The following is a 26,507-nucleotide window of genomic DNA, read 5'->3' as shown; positions in this document are numbered from 1 at the left end:
TGAGTAGCTGGGACTACAGGTGTACATCACCACACCTGGCTAATTTTTTATTTTCTGTAGAGACAGGGGTCTCGCTATGTTGCCCAAGCTGGTCTTAAATTCCTTGAGCTCAAGTGATCCTCCTGCCTCAGCCTCCCAAAGTGTTGGGATTACAGGCGTGAGCCATCATGCCCAGCATAATTCATTCTTCTTTTTGAGATAGAGTTTCACTTTCAGTTCACTGCAACCTCCACTTCCTGGGTTCAAGCAATTCTCATGCCTCAGCCTCCCAAGTGGCTAGGGCTACAGGTGTATGCCACCATACTTGGATAATTTTGTATTTTTAGTAGAGACAGGGTTTCACTATGTTGTCCAGGCTGGTCTTGAACTCTCAGCCTCAAGCGATCCGCCCGCCTCAGCCTTCCAAAGTGCTGGGGTTACAGGCATGAGCCACTGTGCCTGCCGTAATTCCTTCTTATTAAATTTACTTTCACTAGTTTAGACAGTGCTCCATAACCATGCTTACAAAGCGCAAAAACATTGTGTTTGTATTTGAGTCTCCTCCATGGCTGGCCCATCAATTCCTTAAGGCCTTGACTATGTCTCTTAAGTTGCCTTGGGAAACCGTAGTCAGTGGAAAACCTCATGCTGATGGGCTCCTCACCAAAAGCACACAGTTCCTTTGGCACCAGGAGGATCTTCATTCCATGGAGAATTTTTAGGCTATAAACAAGTCTCATTCTTTTAGAGACACTCTAGCTTTAAAAAAAAATATGTCTGTGGGTATCAAGTCTCACCCACGTGTTGATTTTACTACTTTAAATTAGGTTTCCAGACATCTGACGGGCACTCTCCAAGTACTACCTAAATAACACCACCCACACTTCTACCACAGGGGAGCATAACGCAACCTGACAATTTATTTATTTTTTAGAGACAGGGTCTCGCTCTGTCACCCAGGCTGGAGTGCAGTGGCACAATCAACGCTCACTGCAGCCTCAACTTCCTGGGCTAAAATGATCCTCCCACCTCAGCCTGCACCACCATGTCTGGCTAATTTTTTTTGAAGTTTTGTAGAGATGAGGTCTCGCCCAGGCTGGTCTTGAACTCCTTGAGCTCAAGTGATCCTCCTGCCTCAGCCTCCCAAAGTACTGGGAAGTGCTAGGATTATAGGTGTGAACCAACACACCTGGCCCTGACAATATTTTTCAAGCAAATGTATCTTTGCCAACCTTCCTCTGGATTAAAAGTGCCTTGGGGGCACAGTTTTATCCTGCTCCTGTGCCAAGGCACTGGCATTTCTGAAACACAAGAGATGCTCCATGGGTGACTGGTGGAAGGACCAGAACGAAGGGAGCAGGCAGAGACCTGCCCTGGGCATCCTCATCATCCTCCTCACACTCAGAAGGCAGGCACAGAGGCAAGACCACTGAAAAGGGTGCCTGGCCTGGTAGACAATCCAAATACCCTGGTCCCACCCTTTCTTTTCATCAAAGTGATTTTACTACTCTTACTTTTTAAAAATTTACTTTATTGTGATTAAACACAACATAAAATTTACCATTTGAATCATTTTTCAGTATATAGTTATTTGACACTGAGTTCATTCACAATATTGTGGAACCATCACTACCATCCATCTCCAGAACTTTTTCACCTTCCCCAGCTGAAACTCTGTATCGCCCAGCGTGGTGGCTCACCCCTGTAATCCCAGCACTTTGCGGGTGGGCAGATCACTTGAGGTCAGGAGTTCGAGACCATCCTGGCCCACGTGGCGAAACCCCAACTCTACTAAAAATACAAAAATTAGCCAGACGTGGTGGCGTGGGCCTGTAGTCCCAGCTACAAGGGAGGTTGAGGCAGGAGAAAATCGCTTGAACCTGGTTGATGGAGGCTGTAGTGAGCCAAGATAGCACCATTGCACTCCAGCCTGGGCGACAGAGTAAGACTCTGTCTGAAAAAAAAAAAAAAAAGAAACTATACTATTAAACACTGACTCCCTATTTCCCTGTGACTACCATTCTACTTTGTCTCTATGAATGTGGCTACTCTAGGCACTTCATGCAATTGTAATCATACAGTATTTGTCCTTTTAGTGACTGGCTTATTTCATGTAATGTCCTCAAGATTCATCCACATTATTCCATGTCAGAATTTTTCTCTTACTTTAGACTGCTACTTTAATGACAGCCTAAAATGGTCCACAAATTAAGGGACCAACATCAGGAAATCCCAGATATTCCATCAGACGGGCAGGCCCATTTCTCTGGTAGGTTTTTGCCTGATGGGGCTTCAGCCTGGTGTGATTTTTTTTATCTCTGAGTTTATAGACTCAGGCTTGTGTAAACAACTTTCACTGCACAAAGTCAGGGCCACTCAGCATTTCCCCACCACCAGAAGATAAGAGTGTTTGATGTTCTTTATCTTTCACTGCAACTGCTTTGGGAGATCTGGAGAACAGAAAAAGGTAGAGAATCACAACTTTGGAATCTTTTCAGCACTGCAAATTCATTAACAGCATTTTTTAAGCATCACTGAGATATAACTCACATAACATAAAATTCACCCATAAGTATACAATTAAATGGTTTTACTATATTCACAAAGTTGCACAACCATCTCTATTTTCATCAACCCACAAAGAAACCCCAGGCCCACTAGTAGTCACAGCCCCATAGCCCACTCCTGCCCAATAATATGTTTTTAAGCTTTATAATCTAGCTGACAAATATTCATATACTCCTACATGTCCCACAGTACATAGCAAGTACTTAAGAGTCCAATAAACACATCCACTACTATCAAATGCATATATACATATATCACAAATAATCTAAAAAATAATTCTTTCTAGTAAACCTCATGTTCAGAAATTTTGTTATTAGGCATATCCCAATTAACCTGAGATCCAAGTTAGGGGAATAAAAAGGATTTATAATTTTTTTTTTTTTTTTTTCTGAGACAAAGTCTCACTCTGTTGCCCAAGCTGGAGTACAGTGGCACTGTGTCAGCTCACTGCAACCTCCATCTCCTGGGTTTAAGCAATTTTCCTGCCTTAGCCTCCCAAGTAGCCAGGATTACAGGCACCCACAATCACGCCCGGCTAATTTTCATATTTTTAGTAGAGACAGGGTTTCACCATGTTAGCCAGGCTGGTCTCGAACTCCTGACCTCACGTGATCCGCCCGCCTCGGCCTCCCAAAGTGCTGGAATTACAGGCGTGAGCTACTGCACCCGGCCCAAATTTATGATATTTTTAAGACTAGATGTATGCTCCTGAAATGGTAGCATTTTTTTTGTTTGTTTTGGTTTTTATCTTATACAATTAAAACAATTTAAAAGAAGTAACAGTGACTAAGATATGCATTTCAAGACCAGGCATGGTGGTTCACACCTGTAATCCCAATAATTTGGGAGGCCGAGGCAGGAGGATCACTTAAGGCCAGGAGTTTGAGACAGCCTGGGCAACATACTGAGACCCTGTCTCTATTTTTTGAAAAAAAGGAAAAAAAAATATATATGTATGTTATGCATTTCAGGAGAGGGCTCTCCTTTAGGACATCAGGGCTCTTCTTGCTGTCTCATGGGCAAACTATGTCTGTACACCTGCTTTACGCAGATTCCTGCCTCTCTCTTATCAAAGAAACCATGTACAGACGATTACACAACACTTCGTTATGTGTATTTTTGAAAATCCTGATGTTGCATCCTCTTAAATGAAGCAATGAAGACACAGTATATCACAGGCCTTCAAAAAGGTAAATTATTTACTTATCATCACAGACAGCTAAATACTAAACTAAAAACTGATGAGCATTACATGGATTTAAAACTTCTACAGATCTATAACAGTGCAGCTTAGAGGAAAACCTGTACTTCCTCCATAAAGCAGTTTTGAATTAAAGCTCTCCCCTTGCACTCACTCCACTTTGGAGCTGATTTGTCTTGGGATACGTACTGGTGTAATGAGTTCTTGATAGTCAGTAAATCACAGCATACATGCAAGGAACAAAGGAGAAAATGAAATCATTTACTTGGAGATGAGAGAAGTCAACTTTATCAGTGAATTCATTCTATTTTATTTTATTTTACATTGTATTTTATTTTATTTATTTTATTTTGACAGAGTCTCGTTCCGTCAACCCAGGCTGGAGTGCAGTGGCATGATCTCGGCTCACTGCAACTTCCGCCTCCCAGGTTCAAGGGATCCTCATGCCAAGGCCTCCTGAGTAGCTGGGATTACAGGTGTGTGCCACCACACGTGGCTAATTTTTGTATTTTTAGTAGAGATGAGGTTTCACCATGTTGGCCAGGCTGGCTTCCCCCCACCCCCCCCCCCCCGCAAAGAAACACGGTCTCACTATATTGCCCAAGCTGGTCTCAAACCCCTGGGTTCAAGCGATCCACCCACCTCAGCCTCCCAAAATGCTGAGATTGCAGGCAGAAGCCACCGTGCCCAGCCACGGTGAATTAGTTCTAAGTGGAATACAGAGTTTTAACTAAAATTTGGCAGATTATGGGGCCGGGGCAGTGGTTCATGCCTTTAAACCTAGCACTTTGGGAGGCCAAGGCGGGCGGATCACTTGAGGTCAGGAGTTCGAGACCAGCCTGGACAACATGGCAAAACCCCATCTGTACTAAAAATAGCAAAAGAAAAAAAAAATTAGCTGGGCGTGGTGGTGCATGCCTGTAATCCCAGCTACTCAGGAGGCTGAGGCAGAAGAATCTCTTGAACCTAGGAGACAGAGGTTGCAGTGAGCCGAGATTGCACCACTGCATTCCAGCCTGGGTGACAGAGCAAGACTCTGTCTCAAAAAAATAAAAATAAAAATTAGTCAGATTATGGGCAAGATTACTGTGCCAAAGTAGAAATGACTCTTCTCAGTGCTACCAAATTAATTCTAGTCAGAATCAGAGTGGGGAGAACAGAGGAAAAACTGGCAAACTGACACTGAAGCAACATCATCCTTTTCCAAACCAGACTTGCCTGTGCCCCATGGAGAAGGGGATCCACTAACAGCCCACCACCAACCCGGTGATTCTTGAGGGCCAGCCTCCAAGCTGGGTCCCATGGCCACCATCCCGCAGGCAGTGCTCTCTAGATACACTACTGGAGAGCTGTTAAAGACACCGTTAAGGGCTGAGCGCAGTGGCCCACGCTGTAATCCCAGCACTTTGGGAGGCCAAGGCAGGAGAATTGCTAAGGCCCAAGAATTCAAGACCAGCCTAAGCAACACGGTAAGATTCCATCTCTACAGAAAATTTTAATTGACATGGGAGTGCCAGCTACTAGGGAAGCTGAGGCAGGAGGATCACTTGGGCCCAGGAGGTGAAGGCTGCTCCAATGAGCCATGTTTGCGCCAATGCACTCCAGCCTGGGTAACAAGGCAAGACTCAGTCTCAAAAAAAAAAAAAGATACTGCTGAATATTGATTTGTGTCCTCCCAAAAATCATATGTTGAAGTCCTAACTCCCAATAACTCAGAATGTGATCTTCTCTGGAGACAGGGTCTTTATAGAGGTCATCAAGTTAAAATGTTAAGGCTATCAGCATGGTTCCTAATGCAATATAACTGATGTCCCTAAGAAAAGGGGATATTAGGCCAGGTGTGATGGGTCAGTCATGCCTGTAATCCCAGCATTTTGGGAGGCTGAAGTGGGAGGATTACTTGAGGTCAGGAATTTGAGACCAGCCAGGGCAATACAGTGAGATCCCCATCTCCACAAAAATTTTAAAACATAAAAAAATTAGCAAGGCCTGGTGGCACATGCCTATAGTCCCAGCTACCTCAGGAGGCTGAGGCAGGAAGATCAGTTGAGCCTGGAAGATCAAGGCTGCAACGATTCATGATCACACCACTGTACTCCAACCTGGGTGACACAGTGAGACCCTATCTCAAAAGAGAAGGGGAAATTCGGACACAGACATGTACAGAGAGAAGATGACGTAAAGATACTGGGTGAAGACAATCATGTATAAACCAATGAGAGAGGCCTGGGACAGATCCTTCCCTCCTAACCCTCAGAAGGAAGCCACCCTGCCAACATCTTAATCCAGAACTTATAGCCCCCAGAGCTGTGAGACAACACATTTCTGTTGTTTAAGCTGCCTTGTTTGTGGTGCTTTGTCAAGGCAAACTAACACAGACAAGATTTTACATGTAAATAGAATTATACTGCAAATCATATACTGAAACAAAATCAACATTTCCCAAGTTCCACATAATTAGAAAATAATAAGAGTGTGATTACTGCAGTAACCACTACATAATTCCATCATATATTCAAGGAACTCTCTTAGAAGCAAGATGAAGCAAAAAACAACACTGAATTAAGAGCAAGAATCCTCATTCATCTCTGGATTGGACACTCCCAGAGTGTGCTCAAGCACCAGCTGAACAATTAAATTAACCCATCTGTTTCCTCTACAGGATGGAAACAATGTCTATAAAATCACAGTCCTCGAGCCAAGCCTGGTCCAAGCTACTCAGGAGGCTGAGGCATGAGGCTCTCTGGAGTTTGAGGTCAGCCTGGACAACAACAGTCTAAGTAAGAAAGAGGAGGGGGGGAGGGGGAGGGGGAGAAAAAAACACCTTTGCAGTCCTCAGACGTGTTTAAAAAAAAAGCCCAAACACCTGCGATGGCCATGAAGAAAGCACTGTGCTACAGAACACACTGAAAGATACAGAAAGTTTATCAATGAACATTGTCTTTAAAGCAAAATTAAGTATAATATCTATTAAGAAGATTACATTATTCAAGCAATGTAAAACTACAATGTTAATTTTGCCATTAGAACCTCAGCCCTCTAATTTAGAGCCAAAATACCATCCTTCCTCATCTCTATTCAACAAGGAAATAACCAATATATTGCAAAATATGGTAATCTATTATAACACCTTAACACCAACTAGTCTGTTGTAAATTTCAAAATTATTGCCTTAGCACGTCTAATAATTCCAAATAAGAATATCTAGTAATTAATACATAAGAGTCACCAAGCCTACAATTAAACATTAAATGGAGCTGGGCGAGGTGGCTCATGTCTGTTATCCCAGCACTTTGGGAGGCCAAGGCAGGAGGATTGCTTGAGCCCAGTCTGAGAACAGCCTGGGCAACATGGTGAAACCCCATGTCTACAGAAAAATGCAAGAATTAGCCAGGTGTGGTGGCGTGCACATGTGGTCCCAGCTACTCAGGAGATTGAGGGTGAAGGATCACCTGAGCCTGGGAAGTCGAGGTTGCAGTGAGCTGTGACTGCACCCCTGCACTCCATCCTGGGTAACAGTGAGACCATGTCTCAACAAACAAAAACAACAACAACCAGCCAGGCATGGTGGCTTATGCCTGTAATCCCAGCACTCTGGGAGGCCGAGGAGGGTGAATCACTTGAGGTCAGGAGTTCAAGACCAGCCTGGCCAACATGGTGAAACACTGCCTCTACTAAAAATTCAAAAATCACCCGGGTGTGGTGGCAGGCGCCTGTAATCCCAGCTACATGGGAGGCTGAGGCAAGAGAATCACTTGAACCCGGGAGGTTGGAGGTTGCAGTGAGCCAGTATCAAGCCACTGCACTCCAGTCTGGGCAACAGAGTGAGACTTCATCTCAAAAATAAAAACAAAAACATTAAGTGGGCAACCTTAAAAATAACTTCTTAACATATGTTAACATACGCATCTCCAGGCACCATTGTCATTATCATTTTTATTGTCTCTCCACATATCTTGGGACTTAAACTAGGTAAGCTACAAAATTTCCTGACATTTAGTTGTAACTAAATTTTTTTTTAAAAGAGGGGACACGAGAGAGGCACAGCCCATTAAGACACTGATTTTTCTATTACTAGATGTGTCTGAAATGCAGTAACATATCCTTAGTAAGTCAGCTCTGTATATGGTCATATGGCACTTTCAAACACTAATCTCAAATCTATTTATATCAAATGCAGCCAAGCACACACAGCAAACAGATCTTGGAAACCACTTTACAAGCCTGTAAGAAATCAGTGTTGGTCACAGTAGAGGCAAAAGGCAAAGAGCCAGCCATACAATCGCGCATGCACAAGTCATAAAGTTTATAGCAAAGTGTGACTAAAAGTAAATACTCGGTGCAAGGGTTTTCCAATGAGGATGATACAGCTTAGGCAAAAATGTGTAAGATTCAACACGAAACATCTAAGACAGCAATTCCCTTTAGTGAAACCATTGTTTAAGGTACAGGAAAAGACTTTTTTTAAGACTCCTAAAAATCCTTTAGAAATAAACAACTCGGCCAGGCGCGGTGGCTCACGCCTGTAATCCCAGCACTTTGGAAGTCCAAGGCGGGCAGATCACAAGGTCAGGAGTTCGAGACCAGTCTGGCCAACATAGTGAAACCCCGTCTCTACTAAAAATACAAAAAATTAGCTGGGTGTGGTGGCGCGCACCTGTAATCCCAGCTACTTAGAAGGCTGAGGCAGAAGAATCCCGTGAACCTGGGAGGCAGAGGTTGCAGTGAACCCAGACTTGCACCATTGCACTCCAGCCCAGGTAACAGTGCAAGACTCTGTCTCAAAAAAAAAAAAAAAAAAAAAAAAGGAAAAAAAAAGAAACACCTCCTGGCTGAGGACAACTATCACTGAGGTCATCACTGAGCACAGCACAAAGGTCCTATCAAGGACCTGTCAAGGTCCTGTCATGGCAGCGCTGCTTCAGGCTTGCCTTGAGGCACTGCTTCCTCTTTGGCATGGAGATAATCGAATTTGTTTATCAAATTGGCCAATGACATCTGGGAGGGTAAGCCAGATCACAGGCTCAAACAGGGTGAATCCAAGATAGAATTAAAGGCACATTTAAAGTTTATACTGGGGATCCCCTGTCCCTGCCCCTGCAAATACATGCGTGTATCATCTACATGACAAGAGACAAATAAATGGTCCCACTAAACAATGCTGGTGCGTAAATTTGGGGTTGCCTTATTTGAAAAGCAATACTGGCAAAGAGCAACAGTTCAGAGGGAATCATAACAAAGGCTCTGAAAACTACACAAGAGCATACTGGGGATGTTAGTGTGGGAAAAAGGAAAACTGGGAGAAACAGTAAAAAGTGTCTTTATAATCGTAAAGAATATCATGTATAGGGTGGGCTGGCCTTGTGCTCCCTGCAAGGCCCACACTGTGAAAGCTATTCAGGGAGACCGTTTAGTTTATTTCACCAAAGAGCTTTTCTGATCCTCAAAATTGCCCACAAATGGCTTGCCCAAAGAAGTTGGCACACTCTTTGTTTTGGAAGTGTTAAGCATGACGACTTTGGAAACAAGATCTTTTCGAGACATTTGACACTGATAACTTGGCTATCGAGACGGCATGATTTTTCCTGAGTTCCCTGAGAACTCAGAGATATGACTATGTCCTAACCGGGTACCCTAGGACCATTTTCCTCACTGCTTCTTACCTGCAGAGTGGGCAGAGAATATGCACTAGAAGCCAAGGTGCTTTTAAAAATCCAGATGGCTGGCCAGGCGCAGTGGCTCATGCCTGTAATCCCAACACTTTCGGAGGCCAAGGCAGACGGATCACAAGGTCAGGAGATTGAGACCATCCTGGCTAACACGGTGAAACCCTGTCTCTACTAAAAATACGAAAAATTAGCCGGGTGTGGTGGCGGGTGCCTGTAGTCCCAGCTACTCCAGAGGCTGAGGCAGGAGAATGGAGTGAACCCGGGAGGCGGAGCTTGCAGTGAGCCGAGATCGCGCCACTGCACTCCAGCCTGGGCGACAGAGCGAGACTCCATCCCAAAAAAAGAAAAAAAAAAACCCAGATGGCTGCTGAGACCCCAAGAACACCAATTAGAAGCTCCAGGGTCAGACCAAGCCAGAGGGTTTTCAAGAGCTGTATGAGTAGCTGGACTCATTCCTTTACTTTAATCCCAGCACCCTGAGAGGCCAAGGCAGGAGGATCGCTTGAGGCCATGAGTTTGAGACCAGCTGGGCAACATAATGAGACCCTGTCTCTACAAAACATTTTTTAAATCATTAGCCGGGCATGGTGGCACACACCTATAGTCCTAGCTACTCGGTAGGCTGAGGGGTGAGGATCACCTGAGTCCAGAAGTTGGAGGTTACAGTAAGCCAACACTGTACTACTGCACTCCAGCCTGGGTAACAGATCGAGCCCCTATCTCTAAAAAAAAAAAAAAAAAAAATCAATGTAAAAACAAGAAGCTTGGCCGGGCTTGGTGGCTCATCCTTGTAATCCCAGCACTTTGGGAGGTCGAGGCAGGCGGATCACAAGGTCAAGAGATCGAGACCATCCTGGCTAACATGATGAAACCCCGTCTCTACTAAAAATACAAAAATTAGCTGGGTGTTGTGGCGCATGCCTGTAGTCCCAGCTACTTGGGAGGCTGAGGCAGGATAATCGCTTGAATCCAGGAGGTGGAGGTTGCAGTGAGCCAGGAACGTGCTCCATCTCAAAAAAAAAAAAAGCTTTATGAGTGATTCTGACACCACACCCACCGCTGGTTAACCCACTATGCCCTAGAGCTCTAGCCGGGAGCCTCTGTCTATTCCCATAGCTCCTACAACCAGTTTTGTGAGTCCCATGTCCATTTTCTCCAGCCCAGATATACCTCCCAGCTAGCCTTCAGTCCCACATGATGGACATCCTACTGCAAGTTCTCCATCAGCCTCTCCACCTCCACATGCTGCCACACCACTGCCCAACTAATCGTCCAGCGGGAAATGCCTCAAAAGGCCACAAGGCCTGACATTCAAGAGTCTCCCTGACCTGGTCCAAATCTGGGGCCACCTACTCACTAAGTTTATGCCTGTCACACATGTACCCACCAAACAGAAGTATCTGCAATTTGAGGCACAAATTCTATCTCCACCCACTGGCCCAACTCCTAGTGTTCACATGTCTATGATCCAGCCACTTTGCAAAGCACAGCTCAAACATCTTCTGCTACACAAAGGCTGGTACCACCAACAGCCCCAGCACTTCCTCAGGACCTGTCCTCTGTACTTTCCATAGATGTCATGGCTGAACATATGCATTTCTAATCTTGGGTGCTATACACAGTGCTCTTGAAGGTTGGACCTATTTCTCATTTATTCTATTTTATAAGCCTCAAAGGGCCTAAAAACAACCTTGGGAGGCTGGGGACAGTGGCTCATGCCTGTAACCCCAGCACTTTGGGAGGCTGAGATGGGAGGACTGCTTGAGCCCAGGAGTTGGAGACCATCCTGGGCAACAGGGCAAAACCCTGTCTCTATAAAAAAAAATACAAGGCCGGGGCCGGGCGCGGTGGTTCATGCCTGTAATCCCAGCACTTTGGGAGGCCGAGGTGGGCAAATCATGAGGTCAGGAATTCGAGACCAGCCTGGCCAACATGGTGAAACCCCGTCTCTACTAAAAAATACAAAAAATTAGCCGGGCGTGGTGGTGGATGCCTGTAATCCCAGCTACTCTGGAGACTGAGACAGGAGAATCACTTGAAATCGGGAGGCGGAGGTTGCAGTGAGCCAAGATCATGCCATTGCACTCCAGCCTGGGCAACAGTGCAAGACCCCGTCTCACCAAAAAAAAAAAAAGAAAAAAAAATTAGCCGAGCATGGTGGTGTGTGCCTGCAATCCCAGCTGCTCAGGAAGATCACTTGAGCCTGGGAGGCTGAGCCTGCAGTGAGCCATGATCGTGCCACGGCACTCCAGTCTTGGTGACAGAGTGAGGCTCTGTCTTAAAAAAAATAAAATAAATAAATAAATAAATAAAACCCTTGCTGAGAAAAACAACTATGGGTTTCATTTATCTTTTACCAGAACTGGGGTGCCAGGAGGTGGAGGGATTCTCAGTTTAAAAGATAAAAGAAATTGGGTTAGTAAATCCTAACTACATAGAGATCATTTTTATTAATAATCATAAGAAAGGGGCCTAATTCCATCCTTTGTAGTTAGACAGACCTAGATTAAAATTCTAGCTTCTGCACTTACTAGCTAGATAAACTTGGGCAAATTACTTAACCTCTCAAAGCTTTAGCTTCTTCATCTATAAAATGGGGATAGCAAAGATACATATACTTTATTGGGTCATGATAGAAAGTAAATGAACTAAGGAATACAAATCACTTCTCACAGAGCCTGACCCAGAGGAGGCCCTCAGTAACCGCTACAGTTGTTATTATTACCAGATCTGCAAAATGTACACACAGGCATATTATTCCTGGGTCTTTCACTCTATTTCAACAGAAAAAAAAAAAAAATGGAGAGAGAAACCAAACACTGATCCCTTTTGAAGTATGAGGTTTTCCATAGGAATTTGCAGTGATTTTTTAATATTTCAGCATGAATATAAGAGGGGAGAAGAAGAACATAAGCATAATTAGACTAGAATTTGGACAATGTTAACTTACAGTAGATGGGTAGGGAGGGTCCATTCAGAAATTATTTTTGGTTGTCATTGAAATAAATACTACATCTGAATAAGATGCTGAGCAAAGCTTTAGGCTATGTATTGGTTATTCATCTTCATCCCACCCAACTTGCACTAATCAGAAACTTCCTTGGGAGTTCCTTTCTCCTGTAAGTGAGGGTGCTTCCTACTTGAAGACACAATTAAAAATGGAACAACTAAAGAGACTGTTAGCAAGGATGTGGAGAAAACAGAACTCTCATCCATTGCTAGTGGGCATGTACGTCAGTCTAACACAGTTAGAAAACTGGTAATATCTACTAAAGCCAATGATACACCTACTCTACAATGCAGTAATTCCACTCTTAGGTATATATATAGCCAAGAAAAATGAAGGGTTATGTCCACCAAAGGACACGTTCTACAAGAATGATCAAAGCAGCTGATTGACAATCCAAATGTTCATCAAGAGAATGGATAAATAATGATATATTCAAACAATGTAATATTTTACAACAATGAAGAATTACTGATATATGCAATAACATGGATGAATCTCAATGTGTGGCACTGACTTGGGCAAAAGATGTCAGCTGCAAGAGTGCATACTGCATGATTTTACTTATATGAAGTTCAAGATGCGGCAACATTAACTCAGGGTGATAAAAGTCAGACTAGTGGTTCTAGCCAAGGGCTGGGGAGATTACTGATTGTGAACAGTCACATAGGAACCTTCCTGGGTAACAGAAATGTACTGCATTTCTACATCTGGGTGGTAGTTAAACATAGAGACTCATTAGATTGTACAATTAAGATTTGTGCATTTTATTGTATATAAGTGATACCCCAATTTTTAAAAATTCAAAAGAATATCTACACAAATAAACATTGATACAACATGCCCCATTCTTAACCTCAGGAGTAAAACTATTTTTCTTTTTCTCTTTTTTTGGTAAGGATGGGAAGACAGGATAGAAGGCTAGTAATACAAACTTTGGCTTAATGAAACAGAATACACACCTAAAGCACACAAACTTCTCAAAATAAAAAAAAATTTCTTTATTTTTAAAATTTTATAATTTAAAAAGATAGAGACAGGGTCTCACTATGTTGCCCAGGCTGGTCTCAAACTCATGGCTTCAAACCATCCTCCCACCTCAGCCTCCCAAAGTGTCATGCCTCGCCAAAGTGAAAATATGAGCTGCCATGCCTCACCAAAGTGAAAATATTTCTTAAGGATAAATTCATCTCTCATGTACTTTATCCTATAAATGAGGGTGATAATAGAACCTCCCTCATAGAGTTACTGTGATGATACACATATTCAATACATATTCATCACTTAATACATTAATTAATGAATACAATACATATTCATTACTTAATAATGGTTTGCCAAAATTATTTGTTCATTTCCTTCAGTCCTTTTGATCCACTCCACAAAAATTCACAACCTGGCAGGTGTTCAATATTTGTTGAAAAAATTCAGAAAATCTCTCTCAGCATGCAAACCATAAATAATTCCCACCTTAATCCATAAGAAAGTCCTCAGGCTGTCACCAAGGCTGGAGTGCAGTGGCGTGATCATGGCTCACTGCAGCCTCAACCTCCCAGGCTCAAGTGATTCTCCACAGTAGCTGGGACTACTGGCACACGGCACCATGCTAAGCTAATTTTTTTATTTTTTATTTTGTAGAGACAGGTTTTGCTGTCTCTACACAAAAATGTGTTAGGGCTTCTCACACTAACATAGACACAAACCTCTGGGTATTCCCAGGTATCCTGGAAGTAACAGGATAAACATGGCATATGTATCTGAGGACATTCTACTTAAAAATTGACAGGAAAACCACACATATACATATACATTATATATATTTTTGTTTGTTTGTTTGTTTTTGGTTGGAGACAGGGTCTCTGCTGCCCAGGCTGGAGTGTAGTGATGCAAACACAGCTCACTGCAGCCTCAACCTCCTGGGCTCAGGTGATCTTCCCACCTTAGCCTCCCGGGTAGCTGGAACTACAGGCATGTGCAACCACGCCCAGCTAATTTTTGTATTTTTTTGCGGAGATGGGGTTTCTCCATGTTGCCCAGGCTGGTCTCCAACTCCTGGGCTTAAGTGATCTGCCCATCTCGGCCTCCTAAAGTTCTGGGATTATAGACATGAGCCACCTTGCCTGGACAGAAAACATATTGATATGTAAACAGATACTATTAAGAAGACTACAAATTTGCCTAAGATAATACAGGACACTCCAGAGAAACCTCTGCTGCTCAATTCAAGCTACGCTCTAGGCCATCACTCTTCCTGAGCTCCTCAGGTACTCTTTCCCTCTCTATATATTTCAGGAACAGTTTTGACAGGTTAGGCATAGGATATTTAGAATATTTCTGGTTCTCTACCTTAAACAACTCTAATCAATGTGCTTCAGGTTTTTTAATGCAATTTAAACTGATGACAAAGTTTAAGCTATTTCCTCAAATTATAAATACCACTCCATCTGGCTTACTATCCCTGCAGAGCAAAATATTTATTTTCAGCAATGTTGACATGCAAAAGCAAAAGAACAGGAAACTGTGTTTAAGAAAAACAAAATACCACAATAAGATTAACAAACTACATACAAGTTTACACTTACCTTTAGGAAGTTGTCTTTGTATGAAAAGTATATTTTCGATTCAATTGCATACACACAACAATGAAGCTTTACTTTGTTAAAATAATTAGTCAATCACTGGGAAACAAATGAAACTCTGAGATAAAGTGAAAAAACAAATTGCCCTTTTTAGAATTAACCTGCCAGTAATCTCTAGGTGCTTTTACCCAAAGACCCCAGTCTAAAATTCACATGCAAAACATTTTTTTCAGTTATAAAACAGAAGAGTTGTAGGACAGAAAAAACACAGAAGCCAAAAGAGATTGTCCTATCACCCAGAGTAGATCATTCCGGTTTTTTTTTCCTATTCTTATATTTAATGATACATTATACATGCTGTTTTGTTGGGGTTTTTGGTTTATTTTTGTTTTGGGGTTTTATTTTTTTTTTAAGAGACGGGGTCTCACTAGGTTGCCCAGGCTGGAATGCAGTGGCTATTCACAAGAACAATCATCCCATACTACAGCCCCAAACTCCTTCCTCGGCTCAAGCGGTCGTTCTGCCTTAGTCTCCCATGCAGCTGGACTACAGGTGCTTGCCACCTCACCGGCTTCTATACATGCTGTTTTAAAATTCTTTTCCATTTGAAAAATGTTGTGAGTATCTGTGCATCTAACACTTTAACAGTAACAATAGCTAAATCTTTATGGAGCTTTACTATGGACCAGACATGTTCTAAGCATTTTACAAGGTATTAATAACTTCTTTCATACTCAAATAATCCAAGGACAGCTGTTAAGCTACAATTAACAATTGCATTAAGAAACTTGCCCGGGCCAGGCGTGATGGCTCACACCGGTGATCCCAGCACTTTGGGAGGGTGAGGCGGGTGGGGAGGGGCGGAATCACCTGAGCTCAGGAGTTCAAGACCACCCTGGGCAACATGGTGAAGCCCTGTCTCTACTAAAATACATTAGCCAGGTGTGGTGCCATGTGCCTGTAGTCCCAGCTGAGGCTGAGGCACGAGAATCACTTGAACCCCAGAGGCGGAGGTTGCAGTGAGCTGAGATCGTACCACTGCATTCCAGCTTGGGCAACAGAGTGAGACTCCATCTCAAGAAAAAAAAAAAAAAAGAAAGAAAGAAACTTGCCCAAAGTCATAAAGTTCTAAGTGGCAGCACAACTATCAGAATTCACTTAGTCTGAATCCAGAAGCTATACTTTTAAACCACTGCACTCTACAAATAATTTTAAATAATTGAATATCTACTGTTTCCAAACTTCTCACTATTACAAAGTTTTGTATTACAAAACTTTGTATTAATTACAAAACTTTGTATTAATTTGTATTAATTAACTTTGTATTAATTAATTACAAAACTTTGTATTAATTACAAAGTTTTGATGAATCTTTTTTTTTTTTTTTTTTTTTTTTTTTTTGAGATGGAGTCTCGTTCTGTCGCCCAGGCTGGAGTGCAGTGGCATGATCTTGGCTTACTGCAACCTCTGCTTCCAGGATTCAAGCGATTCTCCTGCCTCAGCCTCCTGAGTAGCTGAGACTACAGGCACCCGCCACCATGCCCAGCTAATTTTTGTATTTTTAGTAGAGACAGGGTTTCACCATTTTGGCCAGGCTTGTCTTGAACTCCTGACCTTAGGTGATCTGCCTGCCTCGGCCTCCCAAAGTGCTGGGATTACAGGCATGAGAAACCGGGCCCGGCCCTTGATGAACCTTCTCATAAGAAATATTTTCATATATCCTTGACTTTTTTCCTTAAGATAGTTTTTTAGAAGTACAATTGCTAAGCCAGAAGATAAAGCAAACAATTTAAATAACCAGGTGAGCTGTCAACCAGAACATTTTAATCAGCCCATAAGGAAACTTAATGCAGTAGAAAAGATAATTTGCAACAAATAATTATAATTAGATGGCTCCATATATAGAAATCAGAATCACAGGCCGAGCACGGTGGCTCACGCCTGTAATCTCAGCACTTTGGGAGGCCAAGATAGGCGGATCACCTGAGGTCGGGAGTTCGAGACCAGCCTGACCAACATGGAGAAACCCCGTCTCTACTAAAGATACAAAATTAGCCGGGCGTGGTGGCACATGCCTGTTATCCCAGCTACTCGGGAGGCTGAGGCAGAAGAATCGCTTGAACCCGGGAGGCAGAGGTTGCAGTGAGCCGAGATCACACTACTGCACTCTAGCCTGGGCAACAAGGGCGAAACTCCATCCAAAAAAAAAAAATCACTAGGTACTTTAAAGTCACAAGGGAGGTGCTAAATAGCTAAAGAAATGCTGATATTCAACCGCTTAAATGCCCCCTAGGAGTCAGTAACTTAAAAAAAAAAAAAAAAAGAGAGAGAGAGATGGGGTCTCACCATATTGCCTGGCTGGTCTCAAACTCCTGAGCTCAAGTAATCCTCCTGGCCTTGGCCTCCCAAAGTGCTGGGATTACAGGCATGAGCCACCACCCCCAGCTGGAGTCAGTTACTTTCTCAAAACCAGGCTTGACAACTGTACAGGTCTAGTCCCCCACGTCCATAGGGTTTCTCATTTGTTTTCAACGCGCGCGCGCGCGTGTGTGTGTGTGCGCCTGTGAGACAGGGTCTCACTCTGTCACCCAGGCTGGAAGGCAGTGGTACGGTCTCGGCTCACTGCAACCTCCACCTCTTGGGCTCAAGAGATCCTCCCACCTCAGCCTCCTGAGTTGCTGGGATTACAGGCACACACCACCACGCCCAGCTAGTTTTTGTATATTTAGTGGAGACAGGGTTTCATCATGTTGCCCAGGCTGGTCTCCAACTCCTGAGCTCAAGGGATCTGCCTCCCTCAGCCTCCCAAAGTGCTGGGATTACAGGCCTTTATTTTCAACTTTAACATCACCTGTTTTAAAGCTCTAAGTCACATGGAAACGATCCAAACGATGATTGACGTTAAATAAGTATATCTTATTTAATGTCATGAAATAAGACTATTAAAAATGCAATGTATATATACATTAGAATATTATTTCACCTTTAAAAAGAAAATCCTAGGCTGAGTGAGGGAGTGAGGCTCATCCTAGGCTGGGAGTGAGACCTCCCAGCACTTTGGGAGGTCGAGGAGGGAGGACTGCTTGAACCCAGGAGTTCGAGACCAGCCTGAGCAACATAGTGAGGACCCTGTCTCTACAAATAATAATAATTAGCTGGGAATAGTGGCACATGCCTCTAGTCCCAGCTATTCAGGAGGCTGAGGTGGGAGGATCACTTGGGCCCGGGAGGTTGAGGCTGCAGTGAGCCATGACTGCACCACTGCACTCCAGCATGGGTAACAGAGTGAGACCCTGTCTCAAAAAATAAAATAAAATGAAAAGGAAATCCTACCATTTGCAACAACATGGATGAACCTTGAGGACAATATTCTAAGTGAAATAAAATCAGTCACAGAAGGACAAATACTGCATAATTCCACTTTTATGTGGTTTATCTAAAATAATCCAACTTATAAAAGCTGAAAATAGAAAGGTAGTTGCCAGGGTATAGGTAGAGAGGGAAATGAGAAGTTGTTCAATGGGAATAAAGTTATAGTTACACAAGATGAATAAGCCCTCGAGATCTGTGTACAACATAATGCCTATAGTTAATGATACGGTACTGTACACTTTTGTGTTGAGAGGGTCAATCTCATGTTAAGTGTTCTTACCACAAAAAAAAGTGACACAGGAAAATTTGGAGGCAACAGATGTTTATGACCTTGAGTGTGGTGGTATCACTGGTGTGTACATATGTCCAAACTCATCAAACTGTATATATTAAATATGTACAGGTTTCTGGTATATCAATTATACTCAATAAAGCCTTAAAAAAATCAACTGATTAAAATAAAAGTAACATGGTCCACTGGGGAGAAAAGGTTTGACTTAGGTCAAACTAGCTGGAAAGCAGAGAATATAAAAGACCCTCTGAGGCCTCACATGAATTAAACAGGTCAGTTATCTACCTACATTAAATCTGCATAAATGCAGTTTACCTTTAATTTCTTCATCATAGAATGTCAAGGAGATCTTTCACGTTGCATTTCCTCAAAAGATCTCTGCAATATAACGACACATCACAGACCTTGTGGCCAAGATCCACCAGAAGTGGCTCTCTTATTGATTCCTCCCAGTAGGTAGTTAAGTGTTTGGAGAAGCAACTATACCATAATAGGAAAATTGTTTTAGAGCCTTATTGAAGAATGCAGTTACATAAAATTTCTAAAAACAATGTGAAAAAAATATGAAGGAACCAATATTATCAGCCTAAAGCCAGTCCAACAGGTATCTTGGAAACCACAAACTACACCTGGGCAACTTGAGCAGGAAGAATATGATAAGAGAACAGAACCTTCTTTCACCCAAAGGGAGCATTCCAGGTGACTTCAAAAAGACCTTGTCATGATTTATGCCATTCTTCGTAATTAAGGCACCTGATCCTTTCTACTTGATCACTTTGAGACATGATGGTTTAAAAAGAGTTTCAAATAAATTATAGAAATTTTAAGGCCACGCAAAAATGTTATCACCTGTTCAAAAGTCTCCCCTGCCCAAATAAGCCACATTCACTGTAAGTCAAATTACAGGTGGGCACAGATATACAAAAAAAAAAAATACAGTTTAGGAATTTCTTTTTTACGGAGTCTCTCATTGTGGTCCTAGGTATTACTATGCAGCCAGTATTATTATTTATTATTTAAATTAGATGGAACTTTACATAAGTCACAAGTTATGAACCATTAACACAGTAAATATTTCTTATTGTGTATATTCCATTTACCCCCTAAACCACAAGTATGCAAAGCGCCATTACAGCTTCAAAAAAAATCAGCATACAGGTTTAAAAAAATAATTTCTTAATCCTCAGAGCTTCCCATTTCAAAGAGAGAACTGAAGAATCTGCGTATGGCAGTAGCCTATGAACATGAAGACACAGCCCCTTCCCTATGACTAAGCAGTTCCAGGCCTTGGATTATAACTACACAATGTCTCTCACACATGCAAAAGGAGATCCATAAAGATGTTTATTGCAGTATCATTCATAATAGAGAAAAATGGGAGGAAAGAACAATTAAATGTCCATCAACAGTAAAATGGGCACACTATGGCGTGTTCAGCAGCTCAGAAGAAGGAACTAGAACAAAAGTCAATCTCAAAATCAAGGTTCAACAACAGAAACAACCTATAGAAGAAAACACACAATATGACACCACACATCCTTAATAAAAGTATAAAGTAGATGGATGGCAATGATCAAAATGAACTGGGGGAAACGACAGGGAGAAGAACAAATGGGGCCAGCAATTGAGACCCAAGGGCTTCAACTATGATGCAATGTTTTCTTTTAAACTGGATGGTGACTAAAAGGTATTCATATTACTTTTTTTTTTTTTTTTTGAGACGGAGTCTCACTCTGTCGCCCAGGCTGCAGTGCAGTGGCGCGATCTCGGCTCACCGCAAGCTCCGCCTCCTGGGTTCACGCCATTCTCCTGCCTCAGCCTCCCGAGTAGCTGGGACTACAGGCGCCCGCCACCACGCCCAGCTAATTGTTTGTATTTTTAGTAGAGACAGGGTTTCACCGTATTAGCCAGGATGGTCTCGATCTCCTGACCTTGTGATCCGCCCGCCTCGGCCTCCCGAAGTGCTGGGATTACAGGCATGAGCCACGGCGCCCGGCCCATACTACTTTTATAGAATTACCGTATGCCTGAATTACTTTAATAGTAAAAAGAATCCTTTCCTAGCATTTGACCTACTTCAATAAATTAATATTTACAACATAATAGTTCAAAAATAATTCCTTTCTATTATAATCTTGCATTCTTCAGTAGAGATATATGATAACTAGGCCGGGGGCGTAGGCTCATGCCTATAATCCCAACACTTTGGGCAGCTGAGGTGGGCAGATCACGAGGTCAAGAGATGGAGACCATCCTGGCCAACATGGTGAAACCCCATCTCTACTAAAAATACAAAAATTAGCTGGGCGTGGTGGCACATGCCTGTAATCCCAGCTACTCCGGAGGCTGAGGCAGGAGAATCACTTGAACCCAGGAGGCGGAGGTTGCAGTCAGCCAAGATTGTGCCACTGCACTCCAGCCTGGCGACAGAGCAAGACTCTGTCTTTAAAAAAAAAAAAAAAATCTGATAACTATAGAAAAAGGGCACAAAGCAACATCCTAATTTTAGAACCAGCCCAGTCACATACACACACTTTGGAGTGTTTCTAGAAAGGAACTACTCAAGGGGCTGGGCATGGTGGCTCATGTCTGTAATCCCAGCACTTTGGGAGGCTGAGGTGGGTGGATCGCTTGAGGCCAGCAGCTCAAGACCAGCCTGGCCAACATGGTGAAACCCTGTCTCTACTAAAAATATAAAAACTAGCCAGGCATGGTGGCACACGCCTGCCATCCCAGCTACTCGGGAGGCTGAGGCATGAGAATTGCTGGAACCCAGCAGTCAGAGGTTGCAGTGAGCCGAGATCACGCCACTGCACTCCAGCCTGGGCCTGGGCAACAGAGCAAGAATCTGTCTCAAAAAAAAAAAAAAAAAAGAAAGAAACTACTCATACTACCCACCTATCTCTGGAGACAATCCCTAGAAGTCTATAAAACTCATTATGCTTTTGAGACAATCTAAACTTTTCAAACACACACCAATGCTTTTTCTACAGAAAAATAAAAGACACCCACTCAGTCAGTTTGAACTTCTATCCTTTCAAAACCCAAATCCAAGCTTCTCCTACCTTCAGGAGGTATGCCCTTTTCTATTCAGCCCCCAAGGCGCCTGCTGCTCAACAACAGTTGCACAAAAGAATAAATCAAGGTATCACTGTGGGCTTCCTTAAATGTATTTATTTTAACCTCCTCTGGATTGCTTTATACTCATTTACACAGCTGTTACTGTTTGCAAATTGCATCATATTATATTGGTCTCCCCATATAAACTTGGGAATATATGTAGGGAGGAAGCAAGACTCTCATGGAATAACCTAACTGTATCTAGTACAAAGTTCTGTGCATTGTCCATACTCAATAATACTGCAAGCATTTAAGGAATCCCAGTGTGCCAGTAAGGGTGTGTGTAACTTACTTTTTTTTTTTTTTTTTTTGAGACGGAGTTTTGCTCTTGTTGCCCAGGCTGGAGTGCAATGGCGCGATTTCGCTCACTGCAACCTCCACCTCCCAGGTTCAAATGATTCTCCTGCCTCACCCTCCCAAGTGGCTGGGATTACAGGCATGCACCACCATGCCCGGCTAATTTTGTATTTTTAGTAGAGACAGGGGTTTCGCCATGTTGGCCAGGATGGTTTCGAACCCCTGACCTCAGGTGATCCACCCACCTCGGCCTCCCAAAGTGCTGGGATTACAGGCGTGAGCCACCGCGCCCGGCTACTTTAATTTTTGGAACTCACCCAGGTCCTTTACATTTTCTTTGTGATCTGAGAGGAAAACAAGCATGCAGCAATATACAACCACTTTCTAGAACTCCTTCCTTACCACTCCCTGAAACAAATTTCCGAAGCCTACTAATAACAGACTGCTTTTTAAATTATAATAAACTGGCCAGGTGCAGTGGCTCATGCCTGTAATCCCAGCAATTTGGGAGGCCAAGGTGGACAGATAGCCTGAGGTCGGGAATCCAAGACCAGCCTGGCAACATGGCAAAACCCTGTCTCTAATAAAAATATAAAAATTAGCCAGGCGTGGTGGTGCATGCTTGCAATGGGAGCCTTGGGAGGCTGAGCGGGGAGGATTGCTTGAACCTGGCAAGCGGGGGTTGAAGTAAGCAGAGATCGCACCACTGCACTCTAACCTGGGCAACAGAGTGAGACTCCATATCAGAAAAAAAAAAAACCGTAAGTTATAATAAACCCACAGAAACCCCCAACTTCTTTGGAATTGTGAGCCACTCTCATTACAATCATTATCATTTCCACCCATATTGTACATGCATATTTTTAAATAACAATGAATGTAATCAGTATGTTCATAAGAAATATAGTTTCGGAATTTCAGGGTAACACTTGACATAAAAAAGAGATACTGCCTATTTTCATAATCTGGTTCCCATCCCCCTCTCTATCCTCACCTTCTACTATTTGACTTCAAACTAGTCCGTCTAGGCTTACTTTAACCATAACCTTTTAATGTCCCTTCCCATTGTCCCTTGACCCTCACAGCCCAGGCTCCACACACATGCACAAAGTCCTCATCCCCTCATCTTCAATAACACAACAGTCACCCTAACTAGGCTGCAGCTTCCCCTCTTCTTACCGCTTTTTAAAAGCCTGTGCTCTCACACCAGACCACCCAGTTTCTAACGTTGGTTAATCTAATTACCAGCTACTATTTAACCTCTCTGTGCCTCTTCTAATAACTGTACCACATCACAGAGTTGGTGTGAGAATGAGATGAATCAGTATGGGTAAAAGGTATTGCAAGTGTACCATAAATGTGAGCCATCCTTATCAACAGCAGCGTGCTCTTCACTGCCCTTACACAGACATTGACAGTGGTCATTAAATGGCTCTTTATGACTTTCCACTAGCCCATGTGCTAGAAGGCAGAGCTACTAGCTTACTCCTCTTTGAATTCCCAGAGAAAACCACAGCAATGGGTATTAGACAGGCACGTAATAAATGTGTGATACTATAAAACAGGAATACAGATACGAGGGGTCATCAAAAATTTCAAGGAAAATGAATATTATGAAAAAACTACGGCCAGGCATGGTGGCTCATGCCTGTAATCCCAGCATTTTGGGAGGCTGAAGCAGATGGATTGCTTGAACTCAGGAGCTTGAGACCAGCCTTGGAAACATGTCAAAACCCTATCTCTCCAAAAAATACAAAAATTAGCCAGGTGTAGTGGTATGTACCTGTAGTCCTAGCTACTCAGGAGGCTGAGGTGGGAAAAGGGTGACAGAGGTTGCAGTGAGCCAAGACTGCACCACTGTATTTCAGCCTGGATGACAGAGATAGATCTTGTCTCAAAAAAAAAAAAAAAAGAAAAGAAAAGAAAAGAAAAAGAAGAAACTATGCATGGATTTGAAAAATTTTTTGCACCAAAATAAACTTGTACTAACTTGTCATAACATGTCTGAGCAAAACCTAGTTTGAGGCACTAAGAAGGATAAACATCAGTTTGAAAAGAGCCCCTATCAGAGCAACATAAATTCTGCTAATTTTTTTTTTTTTTTTTTTTTTTTTTTTATGAGATGGTGTCTCGCTGTGTCGTGCAGGCTGGAGTGCAATGGTGCCATCTCGGCTCACTGTAAACTTTGCCTGCCAAATTCAAGCGATTCTCATGCTTCAGCCTCCGGAGTAGCCGAGAATACAGGTGCCTGTCACCACGCAGGGCTAGAATTCTGCTAAAATTGAAGCAAAAACAAACATCAAATTTATGGTGAAGCTTGGGCAGAATGGTGAAATCACTGTTGCTTTTTGAAAAGTTTGTGGGGACAATGCCCCCCAAAAATCAGCAGTTTTCAAGTGGATAACCCTTCAAGAAGTGCCGGGTGCAGTGGCTCACACATGTAATCCCAGTTGGGAGGCTGAGGAGGATCACTTGAGCTCAGGAGTTCAAGACCAGCCTGGATAACATAGTAAGAACTCATTTCTATGAAAAAATGAATTTTTTTTTCAAAGTAGGAAAAAAAAAAAAAGGACAAGATGATGTTGAAGATAAAGCTCACAGCAGCAGACCCTCTGTGTCAATTTGCAAGAAAAAGGTTAACCTTGTTCATCTCCTAGTTTAAGAGAACTAATGATTAACAGCAGAAACAACAGCCAACACCATAGACATCTCAACTAGTTCAGCTCACACAATTCTTGTTTGTTTGCTTGATACAGGGTCTGGCTGTCACCCAGGCTGGAGTGCAGTGACTCATACTGGCTCACTGCAAACTCTGCCTCCCAGGCTCAAGCCATCTTCCCACCTCAGCCTCCCCAGTAGCTGGGACTACAGGGACATGTCACCATGCCCAGCTAATTTTTGTATTTTTTGTAGAGATACAGTTTTGCCACTTTGTCCAGGGTGGTCTCAAACTCCTGAGCTCAAGCAATCCTCCCACCTCAGCCTCCCAAAGTGCTGACTATAGGCGTGAGCCACCCCACTTGGTCCATATTTCTATCAGCATTTTGGTCAAATTTAATCAGTCTCTAAGAAGTTCCAAAACTTTCCCTTGTCTTCCTGTCTTCTTCTGACCCCTCCAAACTCTTCTAATCTCTGCCTATTACCCAGTGCCAAAGCCAGTTCCACATTTTCAGGTATCTTTATTGCGATGCCCCTCTCCTGGTACCAATTTTCTGTGTTTGTCTTTTCTTCATTGCTATAAAAGAGTATCTGAGGCTAGGTAATTTATAAAGAAAAGAGGTTTATTTTGGCTCACAGTTCTGTTGGCTGCACAGGAAACATGGCACCAACATCTGCTCCTGGTGAGGACCTCAGGAGGACCTCAGGAGGTGAAAGGAAAAGGGGAAGCAGGTGGTCACATGGCAGGAGAGGGAACAAGAGAGAGAGGAGGAGGTGCCAGGCTCTTTTTAAACAACCAGCTCTCACGTGAACAGAGTAAGAACTCACATATCACCAAGGAGGTGGTACTAAGCCATTCATGAGGGATCCATCCCCATAATCCAATACCTCCCACTAGGCCCCAACTCCAACATTGTGGATCACGTTTCAACATAAGATTTGAAGGCAACACACATCCAAACCGTATCAGTATCCACTGGTGTCAAAACCAGAGAATAATTAATGCAGTGTCACCACACTCAAAACATATGTTTCATCTTCAAAGACTTTTCAAAAACATAACCAGCTAGTCCCTGTCAGTCCTCTGAAGTCTCTTATCAAAAGGAATAAACAAAATGATTGAAGAAACAGATTTTAACCTGATAGGAAAAAAAACAAATAGAGCCAGATCAAGATAACAGCATTTCTATTGAAACTGCTTAGATTTATTTTCTAGCTTATTCTAGATGTGCTAATTTTGAGCTATTTGTGGAGCACCACCACATTCTGGTCTTCAAAGACTTTTTTTCTAAGAAAGTTAAAAATACACTCAAATGGTCTGTGAAGTTTACTCTTCCAGTCCATATCCACATCAAGATTTATTTTTCTCTTGTTATTTCAAATAAATCTCAACCACTTCCAATTCAAGGATGATGATCTCATGCTTCCATGAGATCTGAGGTCTGTCCTGAGCTTCAGACCCTTAATTCTGGCTGCAGCTGGATGCTACACAAATGTTGCGTATAGGCCCTAAAACCGAGTTGTTCCCCTACCTCACTAAACCTGTTCCTCTTCCTCCCGTGCTCCCCATTCCACAGTGGCATGGCCATCCTCCCACCCAGCCACCTTCCATACCTCCTTCTTTTCTCTCGTCTCCTTCCTTGCCTCCCCTCACCCTGGTCGATCAGGTGCCAATGTGACAACTCAATTTCTGGAGTCCTTCTCTCTCCCACTGCAACTATCCTATTTCTAGCCCTAATTACCTTCACCCAGGTTACCGCAATCA

At 42.9% G+C, this 26,507-nt stretch overlaps 1 protein-coding gene across 5 annotated transcripts in view, besides 3 other annotated features; it reads right to left on the bottom strand.

Moving 5' to 3' along the window:
* RASSF3 (Ras association domain family member 3) overlaps positions 1-26,507 on the bottom strand; it is a 190,601-nt gene that overhangs the window by 38,601 nt on the left and 125,493 nt on the right. The gene's annotated exons all lie outside the window — the stretch shown is intronic.
* Positions 6,442-6,619: a silencer, noted in NCBI's record as "fragment chr12:65046125-65046302 (GRCh37/hg19 assembly coordinates)". NCBI's record gives its function as "represses an EF-1alpha promoter that drives an FKBP-Casp9 reporter gene in an ReSE screen in HepG2 liver carcinoma cells {active_cell/tissue: HepG2}" and the evidence as "EXISTENCE:reporter gene assay evidence [ECO:0000049][PMID:32094911]".
* Positions 10,494-11,217: an enhancer, noted in NCBI's record as "H3K27ac-H3K4me1 hESC enhancer chr12:65041527-65042250 (GRCh37/hg19 assembly coordinates)". NCBI's record gives its function as "activates a minimal SCP1, AML or CMV promoter by ChIP-STARR-seq in naive H9 embryonic stem cells {active_cell/tissue: H9 hESC(naive)}" and the evidence as "EXISTENCE:reporter gene assay evidence [ECO:0000049][PMID:30033119]".
* Positions 17,018-17,521: an enhancer, noted in NCBI's record as "NANOG-H3K4me1 hESC enhancer chr12:65035223-65035726 (GRCh37/hg19 assembly coordinates)". NCBI's record gives its function as "activates a minimal SCP1, AML or CMV promoter by ChIP-STARR-seq in primed H9 embryonic stem cells {active_cell/tissue: H9 hESC(primed)}" and the evidence as "EXISTENCE:reporter gene assay evidence [ECO:0000049][PMID:30033119]".

Source organism: Homo sapiens, chromosome 12 (assembly GCF_000001405.40).
Source record: "Homo sapiens chromosome 12, GRCh38.p14 Primary Assembly".
Taxonomy (NCBI): Eukaryota; Metazoa; Chordata; class Mammalia; order Primates; family Hominidae; genus Homo; species Homo sapiens.
Note: the sequence above shows the minus strand (reverse complement) of the source record. Positions and strands in the feature narration are given on the sequence as shown.